This window comes from Homo sapiens, chromosome 14 (assembly GCF_000001405.40).
Source record: "Homo sapiens chromosome 14, GRCh38.p14 Primary Assembly".
NCBI lineage: Eukaryota > Metazoa > Chordata > Mammalia > Primates > Hominidae > Homo > Homo sapiens.
The window spans coordinates 53,036,517-53,048,854 of NC_000014.9; the positions used below are offsets into that span (position 1 = coordinate 53,036,517).

At 38.0% G+C, this 12,338-nt stretch overlaps 1 protein-coding gene across 10 annotated transcripts in view; it reads right to left on the bottom strand.

The window, feature by feature from the left end:
* The window catches only part of DDHD1 (DDHD domain containing 1), a 116,569-nt gene continuing 104,469 nt past the window's right edge, over window positions 239–12,338 (bottom strand). For all 10 annotated transcript variants that reach the window (XM_017021669.2, XM_005268105.3, NM_030637.3 and 7 more), the window contains one exon: window positions 239–10,433. In XM_017021669.2, the coding sequence (XP_016877158.1) occupies window positions 10,252–10,433 (182 nt within the window). In that variant the 3' untranslated portion in view covers window positions 239–10,251. The remainder of the gene's footprint in view (window positions 10,434–12,338) is intronic.

Here is a 12,338-nt window from a genome sequence, read left to right on the forward strand (position 1 = left end):
TGAAGGCAAAGATTTTTGTATTTTTAAAACTCATGGTTATTCCCAGTACTTAGAGCCTGGTGTATATACTGGTGTAGATATAATTCAGTAAATTTAAGCACCTATGATGTACTGTGGAGGGTCTGGTGATGATTAGGATTGCTCCCCACCTTTAAAGAGCTTACACACACAAGTGGGAGACTGTAATCAAACCCCAAATCAAGGCAAAATGAAACCAGTGCAATTATTGAGAAACATATTGCTTTTGTGTTTTTTAATAAAAAATATTTCAACTTTTCATTTAGAAACAGTGGGTAAATGTGCAAGTTTGTTACAAGGGTATATTGTGTGATGCTGAGGTTTGAGGTACAGATCCCATCACCCAGGTAGTGAGCATAGTACCCAATAGGTAGTTTTTCAACCTATCCTTCTGCCCTCCTCACCCACAGTGTTCCAGTCTGCAGTGTCTGTTGTTCCCACCTTTGCATCCTGAGGTACTCAATATTTAGCTCCCATTTGTTAGAACATGCAGTACTTGGTTTTCTGTTCTTAATTTGCTTAGATTATGGCTTCCAGCTGTATCCATGTGGCTGGCTGCAAAGGACATGATTTTGTTCTTTTTATGGCTGCCTAATACTCCATGATTTATATGTACCACATTTTCTTTATCCAGTCCACTGTTGATGGGCAGCCACGTTGATCTGTCTTTGCTACTGTGAATAGCACTGTGATGACCATATGTGTTTTTGGTAGAAGGATTTATTTCCTTTTGGGAAATAAACCCATATGCTGGGTTGAATGGTAGATCTGTTTTAAGTTATTTGAGAAATCTCCAAACTGCTTTCCACAGTGACTGAACTAATTTACATTCCCACAACAGTGTATAAATGTTCTCTTTTCTCTGAAACCTTACTGGCATGTTATTAGACTTCTTTACAATAGCCATTCTAACTGGTGTGAGATGGTATCTTATTGTGGTTTTGATTTGCATTTCTCTGATGATTAGTGATGAGCATTTTTTCACGTTTGTTGATTGCTTGTATGTCTTCTTTTGAGAAGTGTCTGTTCATGTCCTTCACCCATTTTTTAATGGGGTTGTTTTTTGCTTGTTAAGTTCCTTATTGATTCTGGATGTCAGATCTTTGTTGGATGTCTAGTTTGCAAATATTTTCTCCAATTCTGTATGTTGTCTGTTTACTCTGTTGATAGTGTCTTTTGCTGTGCAGAGTGCTTTAATTAGGTCCCCACTTGCCAATTTCTGTTTTGTTGCAATTGCCTTTGGGGACTTAGCCAAAAGTTCTTTGCCAAGGCTGATGTTGATAAGGGTATTTCCTAGGTTTTCTTCTAGGATTTTTACAGTTTGAGGTCTTACATTTAAATCTTTAATCCATCTTGAGTTAATTTTCATATACGGTGAAAGGTGGGGGGTCCAGTTTCATTCTTCTGCATAGGGCTAGCCAGTTATCCCAACACCATTTATTGAATACGGATAAAATCCAACATCCCTCATGATAAAACCCCTCAACAGACTAGGTATCAAAGGAACATATCTCAAAATAATAAGAGCCATCTACAACCAACCCACAGACATCATACTGGATGAGCAAAAGCTGGAACTATTCCTTCTGAGAACTGGAATAAGAAGAGGATGCCCAGTCTCATCGCTCCCATTCAACTTAGAGCAATCAGGCAAGAGAAATAAATAAAAGGCATCCAACTGGGAAAAGAAATCAAACTAGCTCTCTTCGCTGATATGATTTTATACCTAGAAAACCCCGAAGACTCTGCCAAAAGCTCCTAGACTGATAAACAACTTTAGTCAAGTTTCAGGATACAAAATCAATGCACAAAAATTAGGAGCATTTCTATACACCAATAACGTTCAAGCTGAGAGCAAATCAAGAACCCAATACCATTTACAATAGCCATAAAAAAACTGAAATACTTAAAAATACACCTAACCAAGGAGGTGAAAGATCTCTACAAGGAGAACTACAAAACATGGCAGAAAGAAATCAGGGATGAAACCAAAAAATGGAAAAACATTCCATGTTCATGGATTGGAAGAATCAATATAGTTTAAAAATGGCCATACTGCCCAAAGCAATTTACAGAATCAATGCTGTCCTATCAAACTACCAACCTCATTTTTCACAGAGGTTGGAACATTTTCACAGAATTAGAAAACAACTATTCTAAAATTCAGATGGAACCAAAGAAAGAGCCTGAATAGCCAAAGCAACCCAAAGCAGAAAGAACAAAGCCAGCAGCATCACACAGATGTGGCTTCAAACTATAAGACCACAGTAACCAAAACAGCACGGCACTGGTACAATAACAGACACGTAGACCAATGGAACACAATAGAGAACACAGAAATAAAGCTGCACACCTACAGCCAATAGATCTTCAGCAAAGCTGATACAAGCAAGCAATGGGGAAAGGAACACGTTGTTAATGGGGGCTCACAAGCAGTAATTAACTTCAACCAGGGGATCACAAGACATTATCTTCAAAGACAACTTCATTAGGAATGTGGAGGTAATTTTTTGTCAAATGATTATTAATTTGAACTCTTTTGGATCCAAGAGACAGAGACCCACCTCAGAATAGTGTAAGCAAATAAAAGTACAACTGATCTGGAGGTGATACTTGCTTCAGTTCTCCAGGAACTCTTGGCTCATTTCTTGTGTATGCTTCCTTTTCATGGCAGATGCACATAATCCATGTCACAGGAAAGGGTGGAGTTTTGCCATGGATGGCTCCATCCTCATATCACCCCATGTGCCACTGGATTGTGTTTAACAGCCATAGAAGGCTACCTGCATTTCAGGGCCAGCAAATAAAATCCTATGGAAGGCTTCTGCCCTATCTAGTTAGGGTTCTGTGCCTATTTCTTGTCTAATCATTGTGGCTTATGGGGTGGGAAATAAGGTCTGACCTGAGTCATGTACTCATCTCTTGACCATGGTACAGACAGTGCTGATTGAGCTGCTGGTGCTTACAGGGACTCACACAAAGCAGAAAATAATTTTAACAAGGAGCAGGAAAGGATTCAAGACATGGAATTGGCTAGGAGAGGATCCAAAAGGAGGGGAAACAGGATGCTGGGCAGACAAAAACAGGTAGCCAGTACAATAACTAAAATGCAAGCATTTAAAGGCAAATGGAATGTAGTTTGCTGTAACAAAAATATAGTTTGATTGTTGAAGGTAGGCAGTGGAGAAGCAGGCAGGAGAGTCAGGTTGGGCAGGCTGTGGGGAGCCTTGAGTGACAGATGGCATCATCAAAGGGCTTTGGTTGTCATCAGACCTATGTGTCCCTATCCCCTTTCTCATAAACAATGCCTCTGAAATGTCTAAGCTGTCAGACTGTCATGACCATGCACCAATCTCTTTCCTTTCACACATTTACCTTTTCTTTCCCCTCACAGTCCATACGTACACTGTCCCATCTCAATTCTACATGTAGTCCTTATAGCCTGGCCACGTATTTCTCATCTAAGGTCAGCACCACCTCACGGAATTGCACTGAAATTCCTAGACTGTTAAAAAAACAAACACCTAAAACTCGACTTTTAAAGTCACTTTGGTAGCAAAGGTGGGGGAATGGGAAGGTGAGTGGAAAGGTAGTAGGAGTAGGTTTCTATCTGGCACGGGTTCTTGGAGTTAGCCTGAAGACCTCAGAGCTATGGTCACTGACTGAACCCTGGACTGAGAAATTGTGAATGAACCATAATCAGAATATGCCTGTCTTTTCTAATATATAAGTGTACTTTATCCTCTGATGTTCTAGAGGGAGTTGTGGCCACTAGCCTTCCTAGTAGAACGGAATGTGGCAGCCACAGCTGATGCATAGGGAGATCTTTCAATTTTCATAAACTTTTTGGAAGAGTTACCACAAACTGTATGATGAGGATTATTTTCTCCAGAATGCTTAGAACAGCCTAGTCTGAGGTTGCTCACTGTAGGGCACAACTACTTGTTTCGGGTGAGCAAGATAACAAACGGATCAATTCAGCTAGAGAAACACAGTATAATGCAGGAGAAAACATTTACCTCTCACTTCTTTGAAATTATTAAATGTGCATGCACCAGTTCCAGCTGAGAAAATCAGAACTGGACAATGCCAGAATAAAAGTTTAAAGTTTCTGTCATCCAAACTGATCACTGCAGAGAGAAAACAGAAATAATGCATGCTTCAGTAAAACTGAAGATTCTGAGAAAACTAACCTGCTTTGGCTATTGAAAATAAGAGGTAACAAAGGAAAAGAAAAAGCCTGCCTTCAAAGAGTTGTGATTGCAGTCATTGACAACATTTAGTAGTGTTAGAGAGAGTGAACATAAGAAGTCATAGGAGCTGAAAGAAAGGAAACAAGGGTCTCAGGAGAGTTATGGTGCCAGCTGCTTCTGAGAAATGTCCCTATGAGCAAAAATTCTCCATCTTCTTACTGGCAAAGTTGGGATTATGGCAGCCTTAGAACCAGAAAATGGTTATAATTTTTTGTCATGAAGCTCAAAGGGAAACAAAAAGTTTGAGAGATCAAGCAGGGACCGCAGTGGGTGTGGGTACAGTCAAGGGAAGGTATGAGTGACGCTCCTAGATATTCAATGTCTTCCAGGAGAAAGCAGTAAAGGTCAAGTGTTAACATACTTGTTTTTCATCTTACTCCAACAGAAGACCAGATGTAATCTTCCTAAAGAATATTCCCCAACATATCCTGACAACTGTTGGGTGGGGAGGAAGCAAGTTGTACCATGTTACATATAAATGAAAAACCATAAGGTAGCAGACAATACTAAGCATGCACCCGCCCTTATACAAACACAAAGGCAGAGGAAAAGTTCACCCTAACAATCTGCCAATGGACTATTTTTGGGGAATGCACATACATACACACACACACCAAAAAACAAAACAAAACACAATAGTAAAAACTCTTCTCATAGTCTCCAAAAAGGATAGTACTTAAATTTTAAATTTCTGAGTTAACCTATGTTGGAACAGTTTTGGAGGTGACCTATTTGTCATGAATTGATAAAAGGCCCACATAAACACTATGGAAAGGAATGTTAAACATTAGTTAACACTGTGCAACTTGTTTCCTTAAGTTTGCATTTGTCACCAGAATAGAAAACTAACAAAATATTTCCTGGATATCTTATTTTTTTCTTGATTTTCTTTTTGTTGTTTTGTATTTCTTCTTCTTTTTCCTGGGTATTTTGAATCTGAGGCATAAACGGAAGTCTGTCCAGACCTGATAGGGTACTCTTATGAGAGTCTGGAAGAAAGAAGGGACCAACTGCTAACTCAAGCCTACGGCCATGTGTCAGATTAAAGCTTGCTGATGCTTTAATCTGAGCTTAAAGCATCAGATTACAGAGGTGTATGTGTGGAGGGGAGGTTGGGGGACAAAAACAAAGAGAGGCAGTTTCTGCCCTTTAGGAGTAGTTTCCTATCGATTAGGGGAAACAGTCTGGTATAAGACATGGTTGGGAATCAGGGGACTAGGTTCTAATTCTGACTGTCATTCATTGGCCATGTGATTGTATAGGGTGGAATCGGTCACTTACAAAATGAAGGAATCACATGAGGAGGTGAAACTGTAAAACGAAGGAATTAAATGTGATAGCATTTCTCTAGGTAAATGCCAAATTAAAAAATATGGTTAAATAAATTTGGAGGCCCCCACGCAGCACCAGATAGATTCACAGAGCATTTAGTGTAGCAAAGGCTCTCAAAGCCCTGCTGTAAGGGAGATTTTTGAATTTGTCAATTCCTAAACTTAGTTTCTGACATGACACCTGTTAATATTTGCAGAATATTATTGAGAAAAGAATGGTCTCTATGCCCCTTCCAGCTTTAAAATTCCATCATTAATATTTTTTTACTTTACCACTTCCCTCAGTTGTCACTGTATTTAGTTTTTCATGGAGTTTGCTGCCTTTCACTTCACTTTTCATGACCTTTACTGCTATTTAAATGCTGACATGATACTGTAACAGGGTTGGATTAAATGATCTCTAAAAATCTGTACAGACCCGGAAATTTTACAGTTCTTTGAAAACTATCACAAGCATCTACTGAAGACTGAAAGAGAAAGCATATAACCCAGGCTGTCACCAACTTAGCACTAACATTTACTAAATGAGACCTTTGAGATTCTTATGTTTTAAGTTCAGCCAGAGTACCATCAGATTCCTGGCAGAGGCTTGAGGCACAGGAATGACAGCGGAATACAGATAAGGGATAGAAAACTTTAGAATAGCTACAGAGGTCAACTAACCCAAACATAGTTTAGCAAAACTTAGTTTCTTTTTCTAGTATATGATTGCTACGTTCTTTTTTGCTCTGCCTTGATCTTTAATATTTTACGTGTTTTTAGAAGAGCAATTTTAATACATACACTCAAATTAGTTTTCTCGATTGTCCACATGCCTTACTCATTAATTAGCTGAGAAGATAGAAATACCAATCTAATGGATCAAAAAGAAATTTGTCTTCTACTACAGACTTTACAGGAAAATCTTTTGGCTTGATCTGACTCCACTGGAAGGGGCTCATGTACTATCACTGGAATGAACAGAGGCACTAGCTGTGATACGGTACTGACAATTTCTTTTCCTTTTGTCTACTGTCTAGGTGATGCAAAGCTGGAATATGGTGTGTTAAATTTTCTGCAGACTAGGATGCTTCAGCTCCCAATGAGAAAACAGAGAAAAAAGAGACTAAGGATGAATGTTTACATGTCTGAGGCCTTTAGCGTGAGTATTCAGCATGAAGCATGTTCAGTGTGAGTACTTCAAAAGATAACAGATGCCGTTTAACAGAAAGAAGTAAAACGTAAGATTCCTAAGGCTTGCTTCACATACAAAAGAGCAGTTATTAGAACATCCAGTGTGTGTGTGTGTGTGTGTGTGTGTGTGTAAATACATACTTTTTTTTTTTGGATACAGTGTCCAGCTCTGTCACCCAAGGTGGAGTGCAGTGGTGCAATCTTGGCTCACTGAAGCCTTGACCTCCCGGAATCATGCAGTCCTACCGACCTCAGCCTCCTGAGTAGCTGGGACCACAGGCGTCTGCCAACACACCCAGCTAATCTTTGCATTTTTTGTAGAGTCTGGGTTTCACCATGTTGTCCAGGTTGGTTTTCAACTCTTGGGCTCAAGTAATCTTCCCTGCTTGGCCTCCCAAAGTGCTGGGATTACAGGCATGAGCTGCCACACCTGGCCAAAATCCAGTATATTTTTAAATTATGTCCTAAAACACAGAAACACTGGATTATAAACAAGATTACTGTTGAAAAGAAAGTATGAACTAACATAAGGCCTTAGCAAGACTAATTTTAAAGTAAAAATAAAGCAAGATTTAATCTAAGTCTTATTCTAACGGTTAATAATTCTTGGGAAGCTAACTAAAGTTCAGTGATCTAATCAGTACTTGGGAGAATCATCATAGCATGTACACAAAATAGAGAATAAAATTTTAATGGTATCAAAAACAAAACTTTTTTTGGCCGATTTAGTACTTGCTGGAATAAAGTTGCAAAATGTTACTCAGTAACTGACTTAGCTTCTAATCAAGCCAGAATGACACACAGTCTGTATATTAATTAAGTATATACAAATACATCCAATGTTAACATGCACAGACATAGAAACAAGGATACTACAAAACCGAAATCACCATCTCTACTGATGAAAAATGAACTGAAAACAAAACATCCATCCAGTAGTCCAGAATATCTTATTTTTGAAAAGGTTTTGAATATTGCTCTTTCCAAGAATTCAAATAAACTCCAAATGGTTAAATTTGACTGTTTTCTCAACATGAAAAAAAGGAAGCAGACATATTCCTATGGCTATAGGAACATACCTTTTACTCAGTGATATCAAATTAAAAGGTCTGACATAATTTCACTCTTCTCAGGTAAAAAGGGCTCTTCATATTCTAGTGGTTAAGAATAAATCCCTTCAAGTTCTTATGCATTTGAGTGTCATACCACCTACAGCAACATACGCTCAAGTACCTTTAACGATACAGTCATATAGCATGAGTTTAATTTTCCTGAGAACTAAATTAGACCTACAAAATAAACAGGCTATGAAAATGACCTGAGTTCATAGGAATCTCTAAGTTAGAGATAATTTAGCTTTGCTAAGATTTCATCAAAAGCCTTTTATAGCAAGGGTTTCTTAGTGAGTCACATACTTGGTCATGGAGCCTTGGAATTTTTTTTAAACATTAAAAAGAAGTGCTTTATGTTGTTGTGCAAATTCAGCAAAAGGCCAAAACAGCCAACAGTACTGAAGCACTAAGTAAAACCTACAAGTAAGCCACAGATTCTACTATCTTATGAAGAAAGGAGGAGGTGAGAGATACAGCTGACCAACTTTGCTCCCAGTTTGACAATGATTATTGGGAAGCTAAGCAATTCCTTGCAAGTTAAGAAAAGACAGCACCTTAAGTGGAACCTAGTGGAAACCACTCAGAAGTGAGGGTTGTGTGCAACAGGGATGGCTACTGATCCCCTCTAGGTAACTCCTCTTTTGTGTGAGAATCCAAGAACATAGAAATCAAGCAGGGAAACACCGGCTTCATGGTCATTTCTCTGAATTATGAATTGCAACTTCTGTTATTATTGTTTGCAAACTACTAAAAGGTCACATGTGAATCAAGTCATTGAACAGCATATAAAAGAATATGGCCTGGCTTCAACCCAAGCTTTTCTTTTTTGTTTTTTAGAGACAGGGTCTGGCTCTGTCACCCAGGCTGGAGTGCATTGGTGTGATCAGAGCTCACTGCAGCTTTGAACTTCTGGGCTCGGGTGATCCTCCCACCTCAGCCTCTTGAGTAGCTGGGACTACAGGTGTACACCACTACAAGTGGCTAATTTTTGTCAGTTTTTGCAGAGAAGAGGGTCTCACTATGTTGCCCAAGCTGGTCTTGAAATCCTGGGCTCAAGAGATCCTCCCATCTTGGCCTCCCGAAGTGTTGGGATTACAGGCGTGAACCACGGTGACTAGCTCAATCCAAGCTTTTCTGATTTCTGATGTAATCTAATTCATGGCACTTTAAATGTTTTGGTGCCTTGGTGTATTAACATGTAACATGAGAACAAGATTTATTTACTTACCTCAAGAAGCTAGTACATGGGTTATTGAATGCACTCTTAAACTTTGAGCCCCTCAGATGAAAAGCACTGTGGAAACAATTACAGCTGAAGAAAACCCTTCCAATGCCTCAGAATCCTGACTTACTGTGCCTTGTGTCTCAATGGCACATTGAGAAACAATGTGCACTAGTTAGTGGCATCACATCCCTTCATATATGTTGTTTGGCACACAAATGTTTATACATTTAAAATAGCTGTCATACTACCTATTCAAAAGCATTTACTAGTTTTCTAATAAAGCTAATGAAATGTACCCATTATGGAGTACTCCGTGTCAAGTTTAGAGAAACTTTAGCTTTCTCTGAAGTACATGTAACATAATAAAAAGTTTATTTAAAAAATTGAACTAGTGTTGTATGAAGCCATAAGTTTTTAATGAAAAAAAATGTATGCCACAGTGTCTATATATTCATCTGAAGAGTACAAAGATGGAGTTCTGAGAAAAAAGGGTTTATCACTATAGAAAATAAATCTGGTTCTTAAATTATGTTCAAAGCAAACATTAAAACAGTAATGTCTCATACACTGAAATAAAGCAATTAGAGGTAATAAATTATAAATACAGTAGTTCAAATATTGTTTTAAGCATTAGTTTTTCTAAACAAGTTAAATTCAAAACATTTTAAATCTGTTATATTTTTTCAAAGGGATGTACAAATGAAAGCCTTCATAGAAATCTAAAACGATACCACCTTGTGATCTTCATATAGAATATGCTGAACCTTGACCATTTTTGATTTATAACATACTTTGGTTAATACATTATGTTCCATATGCCTTTATATTTGGGAGGAATCAGATTGTGATTTGTAGCCTTTACATGCAGTTTACCCAAACCTTCTTCACATCCAGGTCTTGCTTGATTCTCTGGAGAAGGTTTTGTCAGACTCATAATTAAAATGATGCAAACTGTAAATGACTTCTTCAGAACTGAAAACTTCTTTTTTTTTTAAATAAAGTGCTTTTAAATTCAAATATATGTTGCCCTAAAGAAAACTGAAATATACTTTAACCCTGAAATCTCCGTATCTTGACACACACATTTTAACGGAAAAAAAAAAAATCAGTTTTAGGCCATTCATGTCCTTCAAGAGAGTTCAGATTGGATCTAAATTGGGTTTTGCATCATCATCGTGCTCATGTTTATACATGAAGGTTAAAAGAAAAAGGGCAACATCCAAGGATGACCAATAGGCAGTATGCGACGTGACAGCTGACCAATAGCGGCTCTCCACAAGGCCTTCTCTGAGTTCAAAATCAATCCTGTGATCCAACTCCACTAAAAAGAAAAGAAGTTAAACAAATGAATACAGATTATAATAAAATATGTTCTATATAGACTTACTGGAGTTGAGAGTAAAAATTTAGCTAAATAGAAGTGATTCTGTCACTTTTTTAAGAAGTGACTTTCCATTATCATCTTAAGAGAAAAACACTCAAAAGAGCCTCAGTAGTACAGGATTCTATTTGTAAAGTTCTTTCCTTTGTATGCTAAAGTTAATATAAAATAATAAAGGAAGACAAAAAAAAATCACTTGGCATATCACAGAATATTTTCAGAGTTAAAAAAATTGCTTTCAAAACTTGGCATTACCATTTAATCCTTGTGCCTAATCTATAAAATAAGGAAAACACCCCTCTTGAAGATTTACGGGCCAGGCTTGCATGCAATGATGCCCGTGGGAGTGCAAGAGATCATTCAATCTCCTCCTTAGGGAGGCCCTATATATCCACTAGTTGTGTGAGGGATATGTTAGAAGATAACCATCTGTGTACAATCCTAGAATGTTTTCTTCTCTACTAGGCTGAATGTCTCACAGGCAACCCCCATAAACCCTAGTGTCCATCCAGTCAGCAGGGTCTAACATGTGCCTGGGACATACAAACGCTCATTAAGTGTTTGTTCAACAAAAGAAGAACATGCAGGGTGGCTGGGAAAGTTAAACAGGGAGGAGCAGTGGTGATTCTTGGGAGGAAGGACTTTGCTTATAACAGTGCTGTCCACAAACAATTCAGTGAATTCAATCAAGTATTTTCTAAAGCCCACAGAAAGTCCTTGCGATTACCTGTTAGAGAAAAATCACCTTAACAAATCAAGGCTCTAAAATAATTCCAGTGAGCTCATTTAATAAATTATTAGAGATAAACACTTAAGAATATGACATTTTGATCCTTAGGAACTCCTTTAAACTGTTAATGAGCCGTACAGTGTTCTGAAGGGTCTATGTTACAAACAAAACAAAAATGCTCAAATCACTACCAACCAGACACTGTAAAGTCTGCCCCTGAACATGCACCAAAAGGATTTTAAGAGTAAAACTGGCACAAATTAAGAAGGAGATTGGAGAAAAAGTTGGGTTTTGCTTTATACTGGGAATTTGGTAATCATACATAGGAAATCATAATACTCTAGGGAAATATTTCATATAAATGCTTAGTTAATGCTTATTTTAAATAGGTATTTTGTGACAATACCATTTGGTAATTTAACAATGCTTATACAGTTGTTATTTTTCTATTAAACTATGCTCTTCTTACAAGGTATGTTCATAAATCTAGCTACACATTTTCAGAGAAGGTTTACATTTAAGTGGTATAAATACCAATTAGGTTATAAAATACTTGTAAAATACATTGACATGGGCTTTTAACTAAGTTTTTTGGGCTGTTTTTTTTTTTTTTTTTGAGATGGAGTCTCACACTGTCACCCAGGCTGGAGTGCAGTGGCACGATCTTTGCTCACTGCAACCTCCGCCTCCCAGGTTCAAGCGATTCTCTGGCCTCAGCCTCCCGAGTAGCTGGGATTACAGGTGTCCACCACCACACCTGGCTAATTTTTTTGTATTTTTAGTACAGATGGTGTTTCACTATGTTGGCCAGGCTGGTCTTGAAACTCCTGACCTTGTGATCCACCCACCTCAGCCTCCCAAAGTGCTGGGATTACAAGTGTGCACCACCGCACCCGGCCTGGACTGCATTTTTAAAATTTAAATTACAATAAGCTAATCAATAACAAGTCAGAAATAGCTGAAATCCATGTGGACTGGTGAGTTAGTAAATGTCTTAATCTTTTGTATTCCATGGGACATTTGTATTAGATTTGTAGTACATTCTGACACAGTAGACGGGAAGACAAAAATAGAACAAGAAACTGGAATGCTCAAGCACAATGAAGATGAGTCAA